The sequence below is a fragment of the Homo sapiens genome, chromosome 12 (assembly GCF_000001405.40).
Source record: "Homo sapiens chromosome 12, GRCh38.p14 Primary Assembly".
In the NCBI taxonomy this organism is placed as follows: Eukaryota; Metazoa; Chordata; class Mammalia; order Primates; family Hominidae; genus Homo; species Homo sapiens.
The window spans coordinates 112623903-112650976 of NC_000012.12; the positions used below are offsets into that span (position 1 = coordinate 112623903).

The 27074-nt window shown below is 41.9% G+C and overlaps 1 protein-coding gene across 1 annotated transcript in view, besides 1 other annotated feature; it reads left to right on the forward strand.

Moving 5' to 3' along the window:
- The window catches only part of RPH3A (rabphilin 3A), a 323646-nt gene that overhangs the window by 48667 nt on the left and 247905 nt on the right, over positions 1–27074 (forward strand). The window lies entirely within an intron of this gene.
- Positions 17916–18436: an enhancer, noted in NCBI's record as "NANOG hESC enhancer chr12:113079622-113080142 (GRCh37/hg19 assembly coordinates)". NCBI's record gives its function as "activates a minimal SCP1, AML or CMV promoter by ChIP-STARR-seq in naive H9 embryonic stem cells {active_cell/tissue: H9 hESC(naive)}" and the evidence as "EXISTENCE:reporter gene assay evidence [ECO:0000049][PMID:30033119]".

Sequence of the window (27074 nt, forward strand, 5' to 3'; positions counted from 1 at the left end):
TCTCACTCAAAGCCGCTCAACTACATGGAAACTGAACAACCTGCTCCTGAATGACTACTGGGTACATAACGAAATGAAGGCAGAAATAAAGATGTTCTTTGAAACCAACGAGAACAAAGACACAACATACCAGAATCTCTGGGACATATTCAAAGCAGTGTGTAGAGGGAAATTTATAGCACTAAATGCCCACAAGAGAAAGCAGGAAAGATCCAAAATTGACACCCTAACATCACAATTAAAAGAACTAGAAAAGCAAGAGCAAACACATTCAAAAGCTAGCAGAAGGCAAGAAATAACTAAAATCAGAGCAGAACTGAAGGAAATAGAGACACAAAAAACCCTTCAAAAAATCAATGAATCCAGGAGCTAGTTTTTTGAAAGGATCAACAAAATTGATAGACCGCTAGCAAGACTAATAAAGAAAAAAAGAAGAATCAAATAGACACAATAAAAAATGATAAAGGGGATATCACCACCGATCCCACAGAAATACAAACTACCATCAGAGAATACTACAAACACCTCTACGCAAATAAACTAGAAAATCTAGAAGAAATGGATACATTCCTCAACACATACACTCTCCCAAGACTAAACCAGGAAGAAGTTGAATCTCTGAATAGACCAATAACAGGAGCTGAAATTGTGGCAATAATCAATAGTTTACCAACCAAAAAGAGTCCAGGACCAGATGGATTCACAGCCGTATTCTACCAGAGGTACAAGGAGGAACTGGTACCATTCCTTCTGAAACTATTTCAATCAATAGAAAAAGAGGGAATCCTCCCTAACTCATTTTATGAGGCCAGCATCATTCTGATACCAAAGCCGGGCAGAGACACAACCAAAAAAGAGAATTTTAGACCAATATCCTTGATGAACATTGATGCAAAAATCCTCAATAAAATACTGGCAAACCGAATCCAGCAGCACATCAAAAAGCTTATCCACCATGATCAAGTGGGCTTCATCCCTGGGATGCAAGGCTGGTTCAATATACGCAAATCAATAAATGTAATCCAGCATATAAACAGAGCCAAAGACAAAAACCACATGATTATCTCAATAGATGCAGAAAAAGCCTTTGACAAAATTCAACAACACTTCATGCTAAAAACTCTCAATAAATTAGGTATTGATGGGACGTATTTCAAAATAATAAGAGCTATCTATGACAAACCCACAGCCAATATCATACTGAATGGGCAAAAACCGGAAGCATTCCCTTTGAAAACTGGCACAAGACAGGGATGCCCTCTCTCACCGCTCCTATTCAACATAGTGTTGGAAGTTCTGGCCAGGGCAATCAGGCAGGAGAAGGAAATAAAGGGTATTCAATTAGGAAAAGAGGAAGTCAAATTGTCCCTGTTTGCAGACGACATGATTGTTTATCTAGAAAACCCCATCGTCTCAGCCCAAAATCTCCTTAAGCTGATAAGCAACTTCAGCAAAGTCTCAGGATACAAAATCAATGTACAAAAATCACAAGCATTCTTATACACCAACAACAGACAAACAGAGAGCCAAATCATGAGTGAACTCCCATTCACAATTGCTTCAAAGAGAATAAAATACCTAGGAATCCAACTTACAAGGGATATGAAGGACCTCTTCAAGGAGAACTACAAACCACTGCTCAAGGAAATAAAAGAGGATACAAACAAATGGAAGAACATTCCATGCTCATGGGTAGGAAGAATCAATATCGTGAAAATGGCCATACTGCCCAAGGTAATTTATAGATTCAATGCCATCCCCATCAAGCTACCAATGACTTTCTTCACAGAATTGGAAAAAACTACTTTAAAGTTCATATGGAACCAAAAAAGAGCCTGCATCGCCAAGTCAATCCTAAGCCAAAAGAACAAAGCTGGAGGCATCACACTACCTGACTTCAAACTATACTACAAGGCTACATTAACCAAAACAGCATGGTACTGGTACCAAAACAGAGATATAGATCAATGGAACAGAACAGAGCCCTCAGAAATAACGCCGCATACCTACAACTATCTGATCTTTGACAAACCTGAGAAAAACAAGCAATGGGGAAAGGATTCCCTATTTAATAAATGGTGCTGGGAAAACTGGCTAGCCATATGTAGAAAGCTGAAACTGGATCCCTTCCTTACACCTTATACAAAAATCAATTCAAGATGGATTAAAGATTTAAACGTTAGACCTAAAACCATAAAAACCCTAGAAGAAAACCTAGGCATTACCATTCAGGACATAGGCGTGGGCAAGGACTTCATGTCCAAAACACCAAAAGCAATGGCAACAAAAGCCAAAATTGACAAATGGGATCTAATTAAACTAAAGAGCTTCTGCACAGCAAAAGAAACTACCATCAGAGTGAACAGGCAACCTACAACATGGGAGAAAATTTTCGCAACCTACTCATCTGACAAAGGGCTAATATCCAGAATCTACAATGAACTCAAACAAATTTACAAGAAAAAAACAAACAACCCCATCAAAAAGTGGGCGAAGGACATGAACAGACACTTCTCAAAAGAAGACATTTATGCAGCCAAAAAACACATGAAAAAATGCTCATCATCACTGGCCATCAGAGAAATGCAAATCAAAACCACTATGAGATATCATCTCACACCAGTTAGAATGGCAATCATTAAAAAGTCAGGAAACAACAGGTGCTGGAGAGGATATGGAGAAATAGGAACACTTTTACACTGTGGGTGGGACTGTAAACTAGTTCAACCATTGTGGAAGTCAGTGTGGCGATTCCTCAGGGATCTAGAACTAGAAATACCATTTGACCCAGCCATCCCATTACTGGGTATATACCCAAATGACTATAAATCATGCTGCTATAAAGACACATGCACACGTATGTTTATTGCAGCATTATTCACAATAGCAAAGACTTGGAACCAACCCAAATGTCCAACAATGATAGACTGGATTAAGAAAATGTGGCACATATACACCATGGAATACTATGCAGCCATAAAAAATGATGAGTTCATGTCCTTTGTAGGGACATGGATGAAATTGGAAACCATCATTCTCAGTAAACTATCGCAAGAACAAAAAACCAAACACCGCATATTCTCACTCATAGGTGGGAATTGAACAATGAGATCACATGGACACAGGAAGGGGAATATCACACTCTGGGGACTGTGGTGGGGTGGGGGGAGGGGGGAGGGATAGCATTGGGAGATATACCTAATGCTAGATGACGAGTTAGTGGGTGCAGCGCACCAGCATGGCACATGTATACATATGTAACTAACCTGCACAATGTGCACATGTACCCTAAAACTTAAAGTATAATAAAAATAATTTAAAAAAAATATTTGTATTATGCACTATACATTTATATTATATTATGATCACATGCAATACAGAATTGTAATACAACATATACTATAGTTTTATGTAATATATAGTATTTATTACCTGTCATTATGTACTATATATTATATGTAACATAATATAAATTATTATATATAAATATTTAATAATATTTCATTATGATGTAATTGTATGTAACAATTGCAATATCATATGATTACATATCATATAATATGTAGGTATAATATACATTATATAATACATAGTGTTATATATTGTGTCAATACTCTTTATGTTTATATTATATAGCATATTTAGTATAGCATTTATTTATTGTGCCAGACACTCTTCTAGGTGGCAAGAACAGACTAGAGAAAGATCCCTGCTCTTCCAGTGCTGACATTCTAGTGGGAGAGATGAACATATTATATGGGATGCTGGCAGTGGTAGGTGCTATGGAGAAAGATAAAACTGAGAAAAGAAAAGTAGACTGTGGATGAGGTTTGGGTATGTCTGCTATTTTAGGGAGGGAGGTCAGGGAAGCCTTCCCTAACAAGGCATATTAGTCCATTCTCACATTACTATAAAGAACTACCTGAGACTGGGTAATTTGTAAAGAAAAGAGGTTTACTTGGCTCGTGGTCCCACAGCCTGCACAGGAAGCATGGCTGGGGAAGCCTCAGGAAACTGACAATCAGGGCGGAAGGCAAAGGGGAAGAAGGAATGTCTTATGTGGCTGGAGCAGGAGCAAGAGATCAAAGGGCCGGGGGCGGGGGTTGCTACACATTTTTAAACAACCAGATCTTGCAAGAACTCACTCACTGTCACAAGAACGGCAAGAGGGAAATTCACCCCCATGATCCAATCACCCACCAGGCCCCCCCTCCAACAATGAGGATTGCAATTTGACATGAGATTTGGGCAGGGACACAAATCCAAACCATATCACAAGGTGACGTTTGAGCAGAGATCAGGAGAAAGTTCGAGAGTGAGGCATGTTAATAATGAGGGAAGAGTGTTCTGCACAGAGGAACAGCAAGTGCAAAGGCCCTGAGGTTGGAGTCTGCCTGGAATGTTTAGGTAAAAGCAAGGAAGCTAATTTGCTTGGTGGTGGAGCAAGTAAGGAGAGGGGAGAGTAATGAGAGACAAAGTCAGTGAAACGGGGCAGATTGGGAAGAGCCTTGGAGCCACTCTGGGACTTTGGTTGTCCCTCTGATTAAGAAGGGGACCCATGGCATGCCTATAATCACAGCACTTTGGGAAGCTGAAGTGGGAGGCTTGCTTGAGGCCAGGAGTTGGAGACTAGTCTGGGAAACATTGCAAGGCCTGTCTTTACCACAAAAAAAAAAAAAAAAAAAAAAAAAAAAAAAAAAAAAAAAAATCAGCAGGGTGGGGTGGTGCATATCTGTAGTCCCAGCTACTCAAGGCAGGAGGATCCTTGAGTCCAGGAGTTTGAGGCTGCAGTGAGCTGTGATCATGCAAAGGTGACAGAGTGAGACCCCATCTCTGAAAAAATGAAAAATTACAAAAAACAAACAGAAGCCATGGGGAGGTTTTAGAGAAGAGGAGCGATATGATCTGAGTTACATTTGAATGGGATTCTCGTGTCTGCTGTGAGGGGAACTTGCAGCAGTGGGTGAGGGAAAAAGCAGGGAGACCAGGGAAGAGGCTCCCAATAGTGCCTTGGACCAGGTGGCAGCGTGGGTGTGAGTCAAAGGAGAAGCAGTGGATCGTGTGTATCTTTGCTTGACCCAGTGGGAGAGAACCATTTGCCCCAATGTCTCACACTTTCAGAGCTCTCTATGCTGTTAATTCCTGGTGTTTAGGATAATTTAAAAACTGTGCCACACAGACCCATCTGCATCTAGCAAACCAGAAATAATGAAAACAACTAATCACAAACCAGAAAGGGACCTGGAGACACTTATTGATTGGCTCTAGATAAAAAAGGTTGTGAAAATACTCATTGGTAAATGCTTCTCGGGAGGCCCCAGGCTCACAGAGCTCAGATAGGGTATCGCCCTGTGATGAGATAGTTACTTTTTTCTTTCCTCCAAGAAATTAACCTGCTTTTTTGTGTTGGGTTTAATTTTACCAAAACAAGAAAAAGCTTGCTTTCTTGAACTTAATCTCTCCTCTTTGAACAATTAGCTGCTGATGTTTGCTTTTTTTTTTTTTTTAACTACCTTTTGCTTGTTTAACTATATTATGACACAATAGGGGAATGCACTTTGCATTTTTTTTTTTTTTTTTTTTTGAGATGTGGTCTTGCTCTGTCACCCAGGCTGGAGTGCGGTGGCACAATCACAGGATTATAACTCACTGCAGCCTCGACCTCCTGGGCTCAAGCAATCCTCCTGCCTCAGCCTCCCTAGTACCTGGCACTGCAGGTCCACACTCTTACACCTGGATAATTTAAAAATTTTTTGTAGGGACAAAGTCTCACTATGCTGCCCGGGCTGGTCTGAAACCCCTAGCCTCAAGAGATCCTCCCACCTGGGCCTTTCAATGTATTTCACTTTTAATTGGGTCAATAATAATAATAATAAAATTGATAGTAATAATAATAGTAGATGCTATTTATCAAGCCCTTATGCACTAGGCACAGTGCTAACATCTTTACATAAACATTAAATCATTGCATTATTATAACAATCTGTGAAGTAGATGTCATGAGTATCCCCCATATTACAGATGAGTAAATTTAGGCTCAGAGGTGTTTGTAATTGCCCAATATCACACAGCTAGGAAGATATAGAGAAAGATTCAGACTCGGGTCCATTTGATGATCTATTACCACTCCCTTCAATGTGAAGTCCATATGTTTTGTTTTTGCCTTCATAGGGTAATAGATCCTCCTGTCCATCTATCTGCCTAACCACTCATCTACCCATCCATCCATCTACCCATCCACCCACCCACCCATCCATCCATCCATCCATCATCCATCCACCCATCCAATTATTTCATAAATATTTATTGAGCCTCAGTATGTATTAGGTAGTATTGAGATGCTTTTCCCATATCTTATCAACTCCTTGAAACTCACAATGATTTATTCCCATTTTAGGGTTCTCTGAGATAGGAATTCTTGTTCAAGTGATTTATTGAGGGAGAGTTCTCAGAAGAACTGGAATGAGAAAAGCAGGAGAGGGCAGAAAAAATGCTAAGCACAGGTGTGGTCTTTAGGTGGAGAAAACTTCAGCCTGATGCCGTGGGGGAACTCTAGAGCATAAATTCCACCATGGAGTTGGTGTCATCTTGAGACAAGGGGGCCAGGCTTCTGCACCACAGTGTCTATCAATTACTGGCTGCCCTAGGGGTAGGTTAGGGCAGAGCCTCCTGGGGAAAGTGGGTTCCATCTGGCTAAGGCCAATTCTTTGGAGAAGGGTGTAGCTGTGAGCCCTTTACAGCAGCTGGGGATAAAGAGATTCTGGGCGGGGAACCAGTAGCTATCCACTCCCTTTCCTCTCTTTATCTCCTGTAATTCAGGTCAATCTAGCACTCATCTGCTCAATACATAATCGTTAATGGCTCCCTCTGGGCTGGGCACTGTTCTAGGCACTGAGGACTTTGTGGTGGAATAAGACAGGTACAATCCTTGCTGTCATTCACTGTCTGTGGGATGGGTTGGTGGGAACAACATTAAACAGGTGAATATAATATAGTGGGTTAAGTCCCTGGGGTGGGAGATGATGGCTAACCCTGACACTCAGCTAGCTTAATTAAGGGTTAGATGGGCAGGTGTGAGGATCAGATGGGCAGGTTGGGGATGAGGAGAAAATATTCCAGGTAGGGGAAACAGGGTGATATGGGGCTGCATGACTCCCAGCTTGCATCTATCTGTAGAGTTTTTACAGGTGCACAGTGGGTAACTCAGATGGCAGCTGTACCCTTGTCCTGTGGCTTCTGCCTGTGCTCATGTGGTCTCTGCTTTAATCTTGCAGCAAACTTGGACACAAAACTTTACACCTCTACAGGGTCCCTAAGAGAATCTTGTCACACAAAAGCACTATTGAGCAAGGTAGACTTTGCTGAAGATTTCACAGTGAAATGGAGGCAGGGCTCGTCTTGCACAAAAGTGTCTTGACAATTAAAAAAAATCCTCATCGGCAATTTCTGTTGTCCTCCTTGGAGAAGAAGGAATGGATGCCCTCTTTGGAACTAGCTGCAACGGAGTTTCTGTTTTTCAATGGGGTAAGGGGTTCAGCCTTTTAATTCCTCCAACTTTTTCTCAGAAGTTCAAACCCACTTTTAACAAAAAAGTGTATAAATTTATTTTCTTATTAAAAATTTTTTTTTTGAGACAGGGTCTCTGTCTGTCACTGAGACTGGAGTGCAGTGGTGTGAGCATGGCATCATGGCTCACTGCAGCCCTGACCTCCCAGGTTCAAGTGATCCTCCTGCCTCAGCCTCTTGAGTAGGTGGGACCACAGCTATATGCCACCGCACCTGCTAATTTGTAATTTTTTTTTGTAGAGATGGGCTCTCCTCATGTTGCCCAGGCTGGTCTCGAACTTCTGAGCTCAAGCAATCCTCCTGCCTCAGCCTTACAAATTGCTGAGATTATAGGCATGAGCCACTACCCCTGGCCTGAAAGCGTGTAAATGTAAGGGGATACTAATGTAATTTAGCTACATGGATATATTGCATATGGTGAAGTCTTGGCTTTTTAGTGTATCTGTTGCTTGAATAATATGCATTGTGCCTGATATAGTTTGGTTGTGTCCCCACTCAAATCTCATCTTGAATTGTAACTCCCACAATTTCCACATGTCATGGGAGGAACCTGGTGGGAGATGATTGAATTATGGGGGTAGGTCTTTCCTGCACTGTTCTTATGATAGTGAATAAGTCTCATGAGATCTGATGGTTTTTAAAAAGAGGAGTTCCCCTGCACAAGCTCTCTCTCTGCCTGCTGCCATCCATGTAAGACGTGACTTGCTCCTCCTTGCCTTCTGCCATGATTGTGAGGCCTCCCCAGCCATATGGAACTACAAGTCCATTAAACCTCTCTTTCTTTTGTTAATTGCCCAGTCTCAGGTATGTCTTTATCAGCAGTGTGAAAACGGACTCATACAGTGCCCATTAAGTAATTTCTCATCACCCACCCTCCTTCTGTGCTCCTCCATCTTTCTGAGTCTCCAATGTCTATCATTCCACATTCTCTGTCCATTGCATGCGTTATTCAGCTCCCTTTTATAAGAGCAATTTCTCACCCTTTCTGATACCAAGCAGTTCCACTCTGTTCCAGCCTGGGTTCAAGTTTGCACACTCCAAGCCCATCTTAGTGAATAAACCACAAGGGTTCCTCCAAGTGACAAACCCACTGTCCTTGGAGGAGAGTGCATATTTAGAATGCTTTCCAAAGGGTGGCTTTATCAACTTACATATTCTTCACTGGGTTACAGAGAAGATACCACAAAGGCGTTTTTGTGTCCCCTCTCCTTCAGGGGACATGTGGCCATGCCTGGAGACAATTTTGATTATCACAACTGAGGGGGTGGTACTACTGGCATCTAGTGCAGTGGACAGCCCCCTCTAAGTGTCATCCTGTGTGACTGGAGCATAGCGGACAAGGGAGAGAAGTGAGAGGTGAAGTCTGAGAGGTGGGCAGGCCTAGCCTTATGGAACCTTTCAGTCTATAGTAAGGAGCTTATGTACAAAAACTGGATCTAGGGGGTTGGGTGTGGTGGCTCATGCCTGTAATCCCAGTACTGTAGGAGGCCAAGGCAGGAGGATGACTTGAGTCCAGGAGTTCAAGGCTAGCCTGGGAAACATAGTGAGACCCTGTCTCTCTAAAAAAAAAAAAGTTAGCTGGGTGTGGTGGCACATGTCTGTAGTCCCAGCTACTGTAGTCCCAGCTACTCAGGAGGCTGAGGCAGGAGAATCACTTGAGCCCAGGAGTTCACTTGAGCTATGATCATGCTGCTGCACTCTAGCCTGGGCAACAGAGCAAAACCCTGTCTCTAAAAACAACAACAAGAAACAAAAAAGATAACAATCTATATGAGTCATCCTTCAAAATAGTGATTGTTAGTTGTGTTTAATTTTGTTTTTGTAAATGATTATTGCTGTGGTCTTAATGTTTGTCTCCTCCAAAACTCATGTTGAAACTTAATCCCCAGTGTGGCAGTATCAAGAGGTGGGGCCTTTAAGAGGTGATTGAGTCATGAGGGCTCATGAATGGATTAATCTGTTCATGGATTAATGGATTAATGGACTAATGGACTATCAAGGGACTGGGACTGGTGGCCTTATAAGAAGAGGAAGAGAGAACTGAGCTGGCATCCAGCCCCCTCGTTGTGTGATGCCCTGGGCTACCTTGGAACTGATGGGACTCTGCAGAGAGTCCCCACCAGCAAGAAGGTCCTCACCAGATGCTGCCCCTCAACGTTGAACTTCTCACTTTCATAAATTTAAGAAATAAAATTTCTTTATACATCACCTAGTTTCAAGTATTCTGTTATAAGCAACAGAAAATGGAATAAGACAGTCAGGTTTTTGTTAAATGATGGTAAATCTTTACTTATTTTGAATTTGGAGACATGTTTCTTGAAGGTCAGAATTTATGAATATTTCAAAACCTGGAATGAGACTGAGGTCTGGATCTTGGTTTAGCCAGGTGACCCTGGGCAAGTTATTTAAAATCTCCATTGTCTTCCCCTGCTAGACTTGCAGCACTGCTTGAGGTTATGTCTCTAATTTTCTGATCATGAGATGGCTTTCAAGTTCTAAGTCAAGATGGGAAGCAAACACTATTCTTCCCTAAGAACATGATTCTCAGGGGTGACAGTGATGCTCATGTTTAATGCCAATTTAAAAAATAAATGGGTCGGCTGGGCGCAGTGGCTCACGCCTGTAAACCCAGCACTTTGGGAGGCCAAGGTAGGTGGATCACAAGGTAAGGAGTTCGAGACCAGCCTGGCCAATATGGTGAAACCCCATCTCTACTAAAAATACAAAAAATTAGCCGGGCGTAGTGGCGGGCGCCTGTAGTCCCAGCTACTTGGGAGGCTGAGGCAGGAGAATGGCGTGAACCCGGGAGGCGGAGCTTGCAGTGAGCCGAGATTGCGCCACTGCACTCCAGCCTGGGCGACAGAGCGAGACTCCGTCTCAAAAACAAAAAAAAAACAAAACAAAAAAACAAACAAACAAACAAACAAAATACAAAAAGTTAGCCAGGCGTGGTGGCGGGCACCTGTGGTCCCAGCTACTCAGGAGGCTGAGGCGGGAGAATTGCTTGAACCTGGGAGGCAGAGGTTTCAGTGAGCTGAAATTGCACCACTGCACTCAAGCCCAGGCAACAGAGCAAGACTCAAAAAAAAAAAAAAAAAGGGTCACTATTTTGAATGGATGACAGGTATGTCCATCACTGCTGTTTTGGTGATTTATGTGATAAGTATCTCCTTAAATGCAGGATGTTGTCCCATCTGTAGTACACCAGATGATTTCTGATGGTACCTGCAACAATTTGGGGGCACAGCATTACATAATCTCATGAGTCACATAGAGAAATGTGGATCCTCTTTTCCATCTTTTTCAATCCTCCAGATGAGATCACGAAGAAAGTCTCAGTTGGGTGCTCGTGGAACTCTAACACTTGCTCCAATCCCTGTCTTTAGCAAACAGACAGCATCTTAGACTCAGAGCCTGGGAGGAGGTGAAAATATTTAACTAGAATTTTACATCATTTTGTTTCCATTGTTTTTACATTTTTTTCCTCTTCCTTTCTGCAAGTATTGGTTTTCCATTTATGGTAGTGATATGAAATTTTCCTTTACGAGAATTTTATTTGAGTACAGTAAATTAATCTAAGAAAACTAATAAATAATACAGTAGGTCAGGGCTCAGCCAACCTTTTCTGTAAAGGACTAGATAGTAAATATTTTAGGGTTTGAGAGCCATATGGTTTCCGTTTCAACTATGCCACTATAATATGAAAGTAGCCATAGACAATATGTAACCAAGTGGGTGTGGCTGTGTTACAATAAAACTTTATTTACAGAAACAGGGTTTGGATTGGCCTATGGGCTGTTGTTTGGTATTCCATGTACTAGGTAATATCCTGGCAATGTAGTTGGTAGTTAAGTGCTAGGCTCTGGAGTCAGCATGCCTGGGTTTGAATCTCAGCTTTGCCACTTACAGGGTGTGTATTCTTTACTCTCTTTGCCTCAGTTTCTTTATTTGTAAAATGAAGATGATAATTCTAACTCATAGGATCTTCATTAGGATTATATACATTTGCTTAGAATAGTGCCTGATGTACAGTTAAATGCCATGTAAATGTAGGTGGTCATTAATGTTATTTTTATATGCAGACATGACAAAAAATGCCAAAGAGGCTTATGATTGCCTGAATATTAGGAAACACTGAATTTAGTAGAAAATATAATGATGTTTGTTATTGCTCCTAACTATCTCCTACCCCTTTTAGTGATTCCCTGGGGTACTGTCATCTTTGGCGAGTTGGGGAGGGAGGGGAGTAAATGTAAGGAGGACAGAGCTCCATCTACTTGCTGAACACTGGAAAAGTAAGGCCCATGAGGGAATGGATTTTATAGACCTGGCTCTGAGTGCATAAGTTGACTTCTTCTTCTTCTTCCTGTATGACTTGACTTTCTTTGGCAGTAACAAGGGAAAATATCAGGTGCAGCAGGTGCCACTAATGTTAGTAACCCATGTCAACTTACAAAATCTGCCAGAAGAATGAGCTCTGCCATCCTAGGTTGTTATGTCCCAGGTAGAACACTGTAGGTAATATGGATTCACAAACATTTAATAAAAAAAAATCAGTGTCTTAAACATGATATAAGCTTATTTCTCTCTAATATAGCAATCTGGGTAAATAGTTAAGGGCCAGTAGAGTGACTCTACAATGGCCAAGCTCTTTCTATCTTGTTGCTTAGCACTTGAAACATTTGACTTTCACCTGATGGTCCAAGATGGCTGTTTTAGCTCCTGCCATCACATGTGCATTCCAGCCAATGGGAAGGAGGAAGACTAAATGGAGACCACCCACTTTCCTTTAAAAACAGGACCCAGAAATCACACATATCACTTCTACTCACATTTTATTGGCCAGAATTCAGTCACATGGCCACATCTAGCTACATGGAGGGCTAACAATGCAATGTCTGGCTAGGTGAACTTGTGCCCACCCAAACATTTTATATAGAACAGTGTTTCTCAACTTGAGGCAAAATTACCCTCCTAGTAAACATTTAAAAATATGCAGGGGCATTTTTGGTCTTCATGATGGCTAGGGAACATTCTTGGAATTTGATGGGTGGGGCCAGGTGTGCTAAACTTCCTAAACTATGTGAGATACTCCCTTGTAATGAAGAATTGTGCCATCCAGGATACCAACAGTGCCTCTGTTGAGAAAGATGGCTATGGAAAAAGTAGAAAACAGAGGTTGGGAGATAATTTGCCATCTGCCACACTTAGTTTATCTACAGTGATCACAACTGTCCCAGAGGGCAACGCCTGGGACATTCTTGAGTGTAGGCTTGAGATAGACCTCAATTTGCCATATGATCACATTCTCTGAGGTATACTCAGCCCTTTCACACACTCTACTCTAGACTTTCTCCCATAAAGACCCCCAAAATACCCACTAGCTCAGGCACCCTACCCCAGTTACTATATTTTAAAAATCTGTATAGAGCTTACTGCCATTGACATGTGGAGGAGGGGCCCCCATCTGCAGGGCAACTGGAAGTAATGCCTATGGGGCTCAGCCTCCATCAGACTGTCCACCCCACTTTGTTGAACCCTGAATGTAAATCCCTTCTAGCCCCCTCCTCCTCCTATTCCCATCCTGTATCTCCTCAACTCACTCCTTCATTACATTTTATTCCTATTAGCATAATATGCAGAGTATTTCCAAACATATATAACCGTTCATAATAACATCTTTATAATCCTCCAAACCAATATACTGTATATGTTTACTGCTTATGTGAACATATTTCTCCTTTCTGATACAACAGATTTCCCTTCAGCATAATCCTCCCCAATGTGCTTCTCATTTAAATATATACTTTATGCTTTTCCTATGGGCAATGCCAAACATGTGCAAAAGTAGACAAAATAGTATGAGTCTGTGAGTACCTATCACCCAGCTTCAACAGTGATGAACTCATGACCATTGTTTTTTAATTTTTTCTCCTTCCTACCTCCTCCCAGACATGAATAGGTATTTTGTGAGGAGGACTGGGGAGGATCATGCTGAAGGGAAATGTGTTGTATTAGAAGGGAGAAATACGTTCAGATAAGCAATAAACATACACAATGTATTGGCTTGGAGGATTATAAAGATGTAATGATGGATGGTTATATATGTTTGAAAATACTCTGCATATTATGCTAATAGGAATAAAATGCAATGAAGGAGTGAATTGAGGAGACACAGGATTGAATGCTGAATAAATCAACTTTTCCTGTAGTTCCCATAGCCAGGCCCCTTTCCATATTATGTTACCTTTTCCATTTTCCTCTCTGCTCCACCATGTCTTGCATTGTATCACACAACCCATCATCAACAGCAAGAGCAGTGATAAAGAGAGCCCGAAGGCAGAAGCTTCTGGGGACCCCTTTCCAGCAGCCCCACCTGGTTCTTTTACATCCTTTGAATTCTTGTTATCTCATGATAAGGATGGTGTCTGCCAGTTGGTACCATAATATTTCCTGGGCAGATCTAGTTGGTGTTGGCTTCTGCTACAGTTTGGATGTGTGTCCCCTACAAATCTTATGTTGGAATCTGATCCCCAACATTGGAGGCGGGGCCTAATAGGAAGTGTTTGGGTCACGGGTCTGGACCTCTCATGAATAGATTAATACCCTCCCTGGGGCAGGGGAGTAAGTGAGTTCCCTCTTAGTTCCCATGAAAGCTGATTTTTGAAAAAGATCCTGGCATCTCCCCTCTCACCCTTTCTTGCTTCCTCTCTCACCACCTGATTTCTGCACACGCCAGCTCCCCTTTGCCTTCTACCATGAGTGGAAACAACCTGAGGCTTTCACCAGATGCCCATTCTTCCAGCCAACAGAATCATGAGCCAAATAGCCCTTTTTCTTTATAAATTACCCAGCCTCAGGTATTCCTGTCTAGCAACACAAATGGACTAAGAAGATAGCTACTTGGCACCAGGTGTGTTACTTACGCATATCTTATCCCAATGGCCATATCCACACCTTAATTAGATAACCACCCGAGTTAATGAAATCCTATGTAGTAAATGAGATGAATACTCCTATCTCTAATCAACCCTTAATCTAGTTATTTGCCAAAATGTGTTCTATGGAACACTGGTTTCTACAGGGATCTTGAAAATTAATTCGAAAAGTGTTTTATGGTCAACAGGGTGGTTTTCTGCAGGACTTCTCAGAGCCTTTAATATGTTAATGATGTTGTGAGGCTCCCAGAAGGGGTTAACAAATGCAGAATTGCCCCCACTTTATTTCAGCCCTTTATTTTTTATACCATCTCTCACAGGACCACTGTTTTGGAGAAAGGTCTCTAGAAATGCTCCCTCAATCATCTCTTCAAGTATCCTGAGATAGAGAAGGCAGAATGCCCTATATGAGATGAGGAAACCCGAGATGATAGAGAAACTGCAATCTATCATCAGTGGAATAGGAGGATACTATGGCCGAGGTCTGCAGGTTTTTCCCTTTCCTGGGTGCCCAGGACAGCTCCCATTGATTGGCACTTTCTTCCTAAGCATTAACAGGTCATTGGTTTTAGGGAGATCAGATGGTAAGTGATCATAGCCTATGTGACAGATCTTGTTCAACCCCTCCCCTCCTTTATTTCATAGTTGTGTGTATTTGGGCAATTGCCTCAATCCCTCTGAGCCTCTGTCTTCTTTTGGGGTCTCCTGAGAAACTGACTCCAAGGCCAGTGGTTTACGGGTGTATCATTATGCTGGCCTCAAGAGCAGGCAAGGGACTGGTAAGTAGAAGGTGACCTCCTAAGCGGGACTGGGGGCTGTGTTTACACTCTGGTACTTCCTGTTCTGTTTGCACAGCCAGAGAGGCTTTTATGATTCTATAAAAAGCCCCACAAAGGAATCCTATGCAGCCATAAAAAGGAACGAGATCATGTCCTTTGCAGGCTATGGATGGAGCTGGACGCTGTTATCCTTAGCAACTAACACAGGAACGGAAAACCAAACACTGCATATTTTCACTTATAAGTGGGAGCTGAACAATGAGAGCACATGGATACATGAAGGGATGGGGGTAACACTGGGGCCTGTCGGGGGAGAGGTGACGGGAGGAAGAGCATCAGGAAGAATAGCTAATGGATCCTGGGTTTAATACCCAGGTGATGGGATGATCTGTGCAGCAAACCACCATGGCACATTTACCTATGTAACAAACCTGCACATGTACCCTGGAACTTGAAATGAAAGTTGAAGGGAGCCCCCCTCCCCCCACAAAGATGCAGATATTGGTAGCTGGAAATGGCTGAAAGACACCAAAGGGCTGAGTCCTGATCATCTGCTCCAGCTCCCAAACCTGATCTGTACACATCAGACTGACACCTTTATCACAGGGGTAGGTGAGGATGAGACCCCAAAGTGTTCCGCATGACGTCTGGTAACAAAGGTGACATCTACCTGTTGGTGGGTGCTAAGTCATGTGCCAGGCACACAGTTGAATCCTCACAACAGCTCAAGCAGCTCTGGGCAGTTATCTCCATGTACAAATGAGAATATGGAAGCTCAGAGAGGGTAGGTAACTCATCAAGGGTCATACAGCTGGGAAATAGTGGAGCCGGGGTTCAAAGCAGGGCTCTGGCTGGCCAGGCATGGCAGCTCACGCCTGTAATCTCATCACTTTGGGAGGCTGAGGCAGGTGAATCACTTGAGGTCAGAAGTTCCAGAACAGCCTGACCAACATGGTGAAACCACGTCTCTACTAAAAAAAAATACAAAAATCAGCCGGGCGTGGTGGCACGTGCCTGTAATCCCAGCTACTCTGGAGGCTGAGGCAGGAGGATTGCTTGAACCCAGGAGGTGGAGGTTGCAGTGAACCGAGATAGCACCATTGCACTCCAGCCTGGTCAACAAGAGCAAAACTCCATCTCAAAAAAAAAAAAAAAAAAAAAAAAAAAAAAAAAAAAAAAAAGCAGCAGGGCTCTGGCTGAAGGCTATGACCTTAACCACTGTACTACACAGTCTCTAATAACTAGGGGCTTATTAATGATCCCTCCTTTCACCCTCTCTTTTCCCCATCTTTTCATCTCTCCTTTCCCTGTCTTCTCCTCTACACTCTCTTCTCTTTTTTCTTTCTTCTCAGGATAGTTACCCTGGGCCATTCGATGTCCAGTAAATATTTTTTGAATTGAATAGCATCTCAGTTTGGAGCAATAGATGCTTAGTTCACAAAATTTGATTGAATCAACTGTCAGAAAAATCTGAGTGCATGGAAGTTCTGCAGAGGTAGGGGATTGTGGCCACGGAATTTAATACCCTTTGCAAATCTCAATAACTTCCTGAAATTCTCTAGGGGGCATGGAGTGGAGGAGTGTGAAGAATGATGAACATGACAAGTGAGAATCCTTTAGTCTCTGACGTCTCTTCCTCAACGCTCTAGATTTTTCTCTCCTTTCTTTGCCAGCTCCCTTCTCCTTCAGCATTTTCCCTCCTCCCCACTCCGCAGCATAGAAGGTGGGAAAAATAACTGCAGTGGAAATGCAGTCATTCTTAATAGGACATTTGTGTGTCTGGGGCATGGAAAATGGTTGGGTCACATTGAACAGCCAAATATTAAGAAGCTTGGTTAAGAAACTGGACATAGCTGAATTAGGGTGTGTTTCTGTTTTCTGTGCTTTTAGAATTATGTGGCCATAAATCTCCTAATCAGACATGATAAACATCTGATTGCAGCCATACGCTAGCATTTGCATCGCAGAAAGCAAATTTTGAAAAGGTCATCATTTAACTTCTGCTGCTTGCAGTCAGCCTGCTCCTTGGCTCTATTAAATTCAAAGCTATACAGTAAAATATTGCTTGTTTGCTAATTTTGCTCCATTGAGCCTATCTCAGGATCCTAGCTATTGCTTGGTATGGCATGCTTTAAGTGACCTGGATCAGAGACAGTGTTAAATGTGGTCAGATGTGAAGATTGGAATCTTTCTAAAATTGCATTTATTTATTTACTTATTCAAGACAGAGTTTTGATCTGTCACCAGCTCTGTCAGGCTGGAGTGCAGTGGTGCATTCTTGGCTCACTGCAACCTCCGCCTCCCAGGTTCAAGTGATTCTTGTGCCTCAGCCTCTTGAGTAGCTGGGATCACAGATGCACGCCACCACACCTGGCTAATTTTTGTATTTTTAGTAGAGACAGGGTTTCATCATGTTGGTCAGGTTGGTCTCAAACTCCTGACCTCCAAGTGATCCGTCCACCTCGGCCTCCCAAAGTGCTGGGATTACAGGCATGAGCCACCGTGCCCAGCTGAAGGTTGGAATCTTAATCTCAGAGAAGTGCTAGAAATTGTAGAGATTTGTAACTATCTTGTTAGGAAAGAGGTAGGTGGACCTTCTATAGATTGAGATGTGGTAGAAGTGTAGCTTCTTTCCTTCCTTCATTCAATCAGGATTTAGTGAGCACATAACAGGATCAAGGCTCTTCTAAGCATTCTATATTAATTATTGACTCAGTTAATCTTTGCAATGACCCTACACTGTGGGTTATATTATTTCTATTTTTCAGGTGAGGCACAGAGAGGTTAAGTGACTTACCCAGAGTTACACAGCTAGTTAAGTGATGGAGCTGGGATCTTAAGCTCAGGGTGTTTGACTCCTGAGTGCAGGCTATTCCTGCAGCTTGCTAAATGCTGGAGATGTAGCAAAGAACAAGACAGCATTGTTCTCAAGGATCTCACCTTCTTTGTAAAAAACAAACATAGCATTTAAAATCCCTGCATATGTAATTCCGGCAACTACCATTTATTTCATGCCTACTGTGTGCCTGAGGCTAAACTGCATGTTTACTATTTTTTCCAATTTTTTCAAGAACTCTCTGAGGTAGGAAGTTTTATCCCCATTCAGCAGGTGAGGAAACTAAAGTGTAGAGAGGTTAATTTAAATTGTGCAAAGTCATACATTAATAGGGGTGCCAGATTTAGCAAATAAAAATTCAGGATACCCAGCTAGATTTGAGTTTTCTATAACAAATACATTTTTAGTTTAAGTATATCCCATGAAATCTTTGGAGACACACTTACACTAAAAAATTATTTGTTGTCTAACTGAAATTAAATTTAACTGGACATCCTGTATTTTATCTGGCAATTCTATACAATCAGTATGTGGCAGTGTTGGGATTCAACCTTGGGTCTTCCTAATTCTAAATTTTTCAGTTGGCCAGTTGCAATCAGAGTCAAAATGGGTGCCTCAGAGTCACTTCTGACCTTGAGTTACACTAGCTGCTTTTGCCCACAATTTGTCTGTAAATGTTGTTAAGGCAGATGATAGTAAATAATAATAATAATAATCCACTCAACCAGTATTCATTAAGTACCAGGCACTCTTCTAAGACTTTCGATTGTTTAATTTAATCCTCACATCAATTCCATAAGGTGTGTTCTATTATCATTCCCATTTTCTAGCAGTGTTTTTCAAATGGGAGTGGTTTCTCCCCCAGGGTAAGGCAAGGTCTGGAGATACTTTTTGGTTGTCTCAAATATGGGTGCTACTGGCGTCTAGTGAGTAGAGGTCAGGGGTGCTGCTCAATGTACTACAATGCACGGGACAGCACCCCTCCCCTCCAAGAATTATCTGGCCCAAAATGTCAATAGCTCTAAAGGTTGAGAAACCCTGTGCTAGAGTAACTAAAGGCAAGAGAGGTTTGGTAACTTGCCCGAACTCACACTGGTAGTCAGTGGCCAAGGTGAGATTTGAATCTAGGCAGCCTGGCTCCCGAATCTGTGCATTTAACCACCATCACGCTGTACCCAGTTTGCCTATGAGGATGAAGAGGTCTGGAAGCTTGGATTACCCACCTGTGATCCCACAGCCAGTGGGTAGCGAGGATAGAACCATGACTCATGTGTCTTGTTTCCTAATTCATTACTTCCATCCCTCCCTGCATCCTATTATCCTAATTTCCTAACCAGTAACTCCCAGCTGCTGATGCAGAAGTCAAATCAAGATTAGGTAAATGCTAAGCTAGAGTTAAGCATGTGTGTGTTCGTGTTGCATTTCAATAGAATTTAAAGTATTTTGTTCATCCATTCATTCAGCCAACATTTCTGTGTGCCCACCCCTGCTCTGGAAGTGGAGAAATAAAGAGAAGACATAGTTTCTGCTACATGGGGCTTAAAATCCAGCCTCACTTTCATCTCAGTGTAAAATTCTATGATTCTAGGCTGTTTGCCTTCATGTTCGTGTCAGCCTGGGTTTCCCCAGAAGCACACTCTGTGATAAGAATTTGGGTACAAATGGTTTATTTGGCAGGTGATCTCAGAAAACAGGTCAGGGAGTTGGGAGGTGAGACAGGGAGGGGAAGAAAGTCAACAGATAATGTTTTGCAAAAATAGAACTAATATTTGATCCAGCAATCCCACTAATGGGTTTCAACCCAAAGGAAAAGAAATCATTAAAGAAAAAAGATACCTACACTTGTATGTTTATCACAGCACTATTCACAAAAGCTAAGTGTCCATCAACAGATGAATGGATAAAGAAAATGTAGTATATATACCATGGAATACTACTCAGCCATAAAAAGAATGAAAGCATGTCTTCTGCAGCAATGTGGATGGAACTGGAGGCCATTATCTTAAGTGAAATCACTCAGAAACAGAAAGTCAAATACTGCATGTTCTCACTTTTAAGTGGGAGCTAAATAATGTGCACACATGGGCGTAGAGAGTGGAATAATAAACACTGGAGACTTGGAAGGGTGGGAGTGTGGAAGGGAGCTGAAGTATAAGAGATTACCTAATGGTACAATGTACACTATTTGGATGATGGTTACACTAGAAGCCCAGACTTCATTAGGAAATATATCCATGTAACAAAACTGCATGTGTACCTTCTAAATCTATAAATAAAATGAAAGATATTGTTCAGATTGAGCCTGTTTGCACTGTGGGTGATTGGAGTTCAGTCCTGCTGGGGAACACTGGGAGAGGGTGCAGAACACAAGCTACAGAGTTAACCTACCTGAGGGGAGTTTGTCCTTCAGCACTCATCTCTTGTGGACTGGGTTGCTCCTGATGGCATGAATGCCCTGTCACTTCTGATCTGCCCTGCAAATGAGCCAAAAGAAACACCTCGGACAGGCAGTCACAGGTGCATGCCATCTGATAAGTACCTAGAAGATATGGTACAACACCATCCATCTCTGCTACAGTGGCTGAGAAACATTTATTGAGCACGTACTATATGCCAGGTACTTTCATATGTTAGCTCATTCTTTTGATCTCTTGAACTCCACCAAAGATCCTCAAATAACCATCTTTAACAGCTTTGCTCAGTCCTTACTCATCCTCATCTTTAGCTGCCATGTAGATGAGGTCAATATCCACAAGAAACTCACCTGAGTGGGGAAGAAACTCGCTTTCCAGTACAATAGATAGCTATATAATAAAAGCACAATGTTACCCTGAATAGCTGCAGCTCATTACATGGAAAGAAACTGAAAATAAAATCAACACGGAGAAAAGCAGAATCATGCCCTGGGGAGAGACCAAGCTTTGATCACATCATTTGAGTGCCTGGATGCAGCTGTACCTGAAGCAAAAGACTCCCAGGCATTTTATATGCCAGAGACGATAAATTTTCATTTGATTTTTAAAATTTTTAAAAGTTGAGTATTGTTCAGATATAAGCTGGTGAGTTCTGACTGATAGTCAAACAGAGAGATACCGTGAGAGTTGTTCAAAAAAATGAAGCTTATGAATGAGGTCCTGAGTTTGAAATGATAGTTACTAGACCAAACCACAAGGCAACATTGATTTTAATATCACACCACATGCCACCCTGGATTTTTTCCCCCTACAACAAAGGGTCATGTTGTCCAACATCATTATGTATGAGTTTTTGCTTTGTTTGAAGTTAGTACACTTGGTCTCGTTAAATGTCTGCCGGTTTCTTTGGTTCTGTTGAATGATGTCCTTATCTATGTGGCTTTTTCTAGATTTTCTGGGGTATAAATCACCCAGGCACATTATGGATCTTCTCAGTTTATTGCCAGGAAAATTTGTTGTTCTCTGAAATGTGTGCTTGAACCACTGGAGCAGAGCACTTACGACTGTGTTTTAAGATTATCACAAGAAAAAAATTCTGCAAGCAGTGCTTGAACTAAATTAGGATCTTGCTTTTAGAGAGGCAGGTGTAGGGTGTTTCAAAGCAAAGTGAGCTCTCCTCTGCAAATTTCGTCTTTCTACTCCATCTGGAGCTTGAATTTCCATCCTTGGGGGTAAATCACATCTGCTTTGGATTTCATAGGATGTCTCTTAAGTATCTTCACAGAATTGTTCAAAGATTGCAATCGCTTCTAGTAGATCTGATTCATAAGTTCGTGGGTGCAGCAGCTGCTCTCTGAATCAATTTGTCAATGTGAGTGGCGTTTTGAATGGGGGCAGAGATGAGAGCAGACAGCCGGTAGACAGCCATAGGAGGTGGTTTTATAGAAGAGTGGTAAGCCATAAGGATACCATCCCACGATCAAATCTCAGCTCTGACACTAGCTATGGCACTCTGGTCGATTTTCATATTGTTTTGAGCTTCAGTTTCCTCATCTGTAAAATGAGGTTAATAACAGTACCTGCCTCATGGGTTGCACTGGATTAAATCTGAGAAGAAATGTATACCATTTAGTCTGGTGGGAGAGTTGCAGGTGCCATGTGCTATGGGCATATAGTAAATGTTCATTAAATGGTAGCTATTTGTGTGCACCAGGATGCTTTTGATCCAAAAGAAAAATATCTTGATTCGACTGGCTTAAACAATAAAGAAAAATTTATTATCATAGGTAACAGTGACTCCAGGATTAATTCAGTGCCTTGACAACTTCACCAAGACCAACGTTCTTCTTATAATTCTCCTTTGTCATCTTAATGTCAGTAAGTAGCCCTAAAGGTGATAAGATGGCTCTCTCAGTTCTAGATGTTATTTTCAGATGTAATATAATGTCCCCCCATGGAAGAGGCTCCATTTTCGTTTGTGTGCCTCTTTTTAAGAGCAAAAATACCTTTCTCTAAAAACCCTGGCAGACGTCCACTCACATCTCACAGGTTGTGGGTCTTCAGGGACCCTGGAAGGTGTGGCAGTTGGAGGCTCTCAGCCGGTCACACTCCTCCCAGCCACCTCTCATGGCCAGTACATCACCAAAGAGGCTTGGGGAGCCTCCCTTTTCTCAGCCTCAAAATGATTATGTGCACAGTGAGGTTGGACAGTTTCCTGTCTACTAGCTGTGTGACTTTGGAAAAGTGGTGTCCCCTCTCTGAGCCTCCATTTTTCCATCCCTAATGTTAATTCCACTTTTCAATACTCACTGTTGGCTGATTGTTTGCCAGATGACACTTGAGGGGCCTGGGACTCAACAGTGAACAAGACACACAGTCCCTGTCCTCATATTGCTGATGCCTGGTGAGAGTCCCCAACTCACAGAGTTGGTTTGATGACCGATGTGGAGATGACCTTGTAAATGGGCTGGTCCTAACTGCATGGTCTCTTTTGCTAACACTGGAGGGTATGCATCCCATAGTTTGGGACTGCATTAATCTTAAAAGCTATGGGGGTACTCTAAAGTGTGAATTTAGCCACACATTAGCTTAGGTTTTTTCCAGAGCGCAGAACAGCTAAGAATCAAAGGAGCCTAGCTGTATTACACTTGCACAAACCAGTTTTTCTTTTCTGGATTGAAGACCCACATTTTATGTTTAATGGACAAAAGTGATGTTTCCCTTGGCCTGTTTTTTTTGAAGATATCCTTAACAAAATCTGTCTCATCTTTACCAATACCATGACAATTACAACCCCACCTCAAGCCATTTGTTGGCTAAGAATTTGGGTTCTGGAGCCAGACTGTATATTTGAACCATTGCTCTGGCCATGTGACCCTGAGCGAGTCTCTCTATGCCTCAGTTTCATAATCTGTACAATGGAAGAATAAAGGTAACTACTTCCTAAGATGGTTATATTTTGGGGTATATTTAGTTATCTTTTATTGAATATCTACTGCGTGATAGGTGTGTTATTCTTGATGCTGGAGACAGTAGTGAATAAAACAGAGAGATGTTCTAATGGGGGCAATAGGCAATAAATGAGTAAATTTCATGCTGCAATCAACAGAATAAGCCATGAAGAAAAATCAACCAGGGTAATGGGGCTAGAGAGGGTGTGTGTGTGTGTATGTGTGTGTGTGTGTGTGTGTTGCTTTAGGTTGGATGGTCAGGAATGGCCTCTCTAGGGTGGTTACCTTTGAGCAAAGATGTGGAGAAAGTGAGCCATGTGGATATACATAGGGGGAAGAGCAGGGAACAGCTTTTCCAGGCAGAGGGAACTGCAGGTGCAAAGGCCCTGAGGCAGTGAACGGTTTGAGGAATAGCAAGGAGGGTGGTGGGTGCAGCTGCCACAGAGTAAGTGGGAAAAAGCTTAAGCAAGTGAATGAAAGTCAAATGCTTTGAACAGTGCCTGACATATAGTAAATGCTTGATACATGTTAACTGTTATTGTTATTATTCTTGCTACTAGTCTTAGAATATAAGACTCATTTTGAGGAGACAATTCAGGCTATGTTTTCTCCTGACACTATAAAATATATTAAAAAATCAATTTGGTTTTCTTCTATGTTGAAAGGAATATGTCTATAATCATTGCAGATCATTTGGAAAATACAGTTGAGGAGACAGATGGAGACAACCACTGTTAATGTTTTAGTGTATTTCCCACTTGTATTTTTATATGCTTAGTTTTTAATTTATCACAACTGTGATCATTACATATACTATATACAATTCCATATTTCTATTTTTTTACTTGACCTAATAACATAAATATGTCACATAAAGGTATCATACATAATTTGTTATGGCTGAATAATGTTCCACTGAGTGGAATGTACTTATTTCCCAGTTAATGGACATTTAGGTTGCTTTTCATTTTTCTTAATATACACACTGTGCAAAATGTTTTTGTTTGCTTTCGACTTAGGGTTGTTTCTGTAGGTGACATTCTCAGAGATAAAATTACTGGTTAGGCCAGGTGTGGTAGCTCACTCTCCGGGAATCCCAGCACTTTGGGAGGCTGAGGTGGGACGATCGCTGAGCCCAGGAGTTTGAGACCAGCCTAGGCAACAGAGTGAAACCCCATCTCTACAAAAAAAAAAAAAAAAAAAAAAAAAAAAGCTAGGTGTTGTGGCACATGTCTGTAGTCCCAGCTACTCAAAAGGCTGAGGTGGGAGGATCGTCTGAGCCTGGGAGTTTCAGGCTGCAGTGAGCCATGATTGTGCCACTGTACTCTAGCCTGGGTGACAGAGCAAGACACGGTCTCAAAAAAAAAAAAAAAAAAAAAATGGAAATTACTGATTTAAAATTCATGGTGGTTGGTTTTTCCTTTACACAAATTTATTTATTTATTTATTTTGAGACAGAGTCTCACTCTGTCACCCAGGCTGGAATGCAGTGGTGCAGTCTCGGCTCACTGCACCTCCATCTCCCGGGTTCAAACAATCCTCATGCCTCAGCCTTCCAAGTAACTGGGATTACAGGCATATGCCACCGCACCTGGCTAATTTTTGTGTTTTTAGTAGAGATGGGGTTTCATTATGCTGACCAGATTGGTCTCAAACTCCTGGCCTCAAGGCCCACCTCGGCCTTGCAAAGTGCTGAGATTACAGGCATGGGCCAGCACGCCAGGCCCCTTTACACAAATTTAAAACCAATAGTATTTATTTGTGTGGTTCTTTGATGTAGAATAGACCAGATCTCTTGGTAGACTTCAGATAGTGCTACATTCCATTTTATTACCTTTCGGAGTTGGAAAAGTTCGTGTCCATTCATCTTGGAGAGTAATGAGATTTTCTATTTTGTGCCCTGGCACATTTTTATTTTGAATTATTTAAGAAAACGCTCTATGCAATGCTTTAGTGAGAATTTATGACTCTTGGTACTACTGGAACTAAGGTGATGGAGGCAGTAAGAATGAAATTTTTTTCCATAGGTCATCAGTTGGGTCAAAGATGGAGCTACTAGCCAGGCCTGAGACCTGAGGTAAGTCCCACCGTCTCTTTGGGCCTCAGTTTCCCCATCTGTATTAAAGATTGCAGGACTTGTGTATTCTTATCATTTGTTATATATCAGGCCCAGTCCTAAGCAATATCTGCATTCACAGATGTAAGTTCTTATAGTAATTGGGTGCTCATATTTTGAGGAATACTGCATTTGACTATAAGCTCCAGGAAGGCAGACACCTCATTTTGTTTTATTCACCATTTGTATTAGCCTGTTACGGCTGCCATAACAAAATGCCACAGGCTGGGTGGCTTAAACAATGGCAATTTATTTCTCACAGTTCTGGAGGCTGAAAGTCCAAGATCAAGGTGTCAGCAGGGTTGGTTTCTCCTGAGGCTTCCCTCCCTGGCTTGCAGACGGCTGCCTTCTCACCATGCTCTCACACAGCTTTGCTACGTGTGCACACATCCCTAGCGTCTCTTCCTCTTCTTATAAGGGTTCCACCCTACTGGCCTCATTTTGACTTAACCATTTAAAGACCTTATCTCCAAACATAGTTGCATTCTGAGGTCCTAGGGTTGGGACTTCAACATGTGAATTTTGGGAGGTACAGTCAGTCAATGTAGATCCAGCTTTTAGCACCACCATTATCATCATATATTAGGCAGCAAATGCAGATCCACATCCCCTCAGTTCCTGGTTGTAGAACAAATGAATGAATGAAGTCTGGGAAAGCTGACATTTCCAGTTCAGTCCCAGCAGCCAAGGCAATTGCATTCTACATTACCTCATCTCTAATTTTATCCCCGTTCTGTAGGTGTGGACATTGAGGTGTAGATGTGTGAAATGATTCAATGAAGGTCACATAGCCACTTATGGAGGAGGTGGGACTTGAGTCCAGGCCTCCCTGATGTCAGGGCCAGAATTTCTAACCTCTCTGCTGCACTGAGAAGACAGGCTTGATCATTGCCAAGCTCCCTTAATCCAATTTTAGAATTTTCTACAAATCTTCCTCTTTTCATTGAACTAAGGCTTCCTTATCAGATTGGGTAGGAAGAAGCCAAGAAGAAATTCTTGCACAATGAGGGATGATTCAGGGTCCAAAAGTTGAATTTTTCTCATCCCCTTTTATATATCCTTTTTTATTTTATTTATTTATTTTTTACAAAATGTAACTTATGCCAGCTCTGTGAAGCAGAAAGTTTTGACTTTTTTTCCCCAGTGCTGCATTCTAGTTTCTAGAATAGTGTCTGACACATGAAGACAATAAATATTTATTGAATGAAGTAATAGATACTTGTTTACACATTTTTTTTTTTTTTTGAAATAGGGTCTCGCTCTGTCACCCAGGCTGGAGTGCAGGAGCAGATCATAGTTCACCGCAACCTCCGCCTCCTGGGCTCCAGTGATCCTTCCATCTTAGCCTCCTGAGTAGCTGGGACCACAGGCGAGTGACATTACACCTGGCTAATTTTTTAATGTTTTTGTAGAGACAGGGGTCTCACTGTGTGGTCTAGGCTGGTCTGGAACTCCTGACCTCAAGTGATCCTCC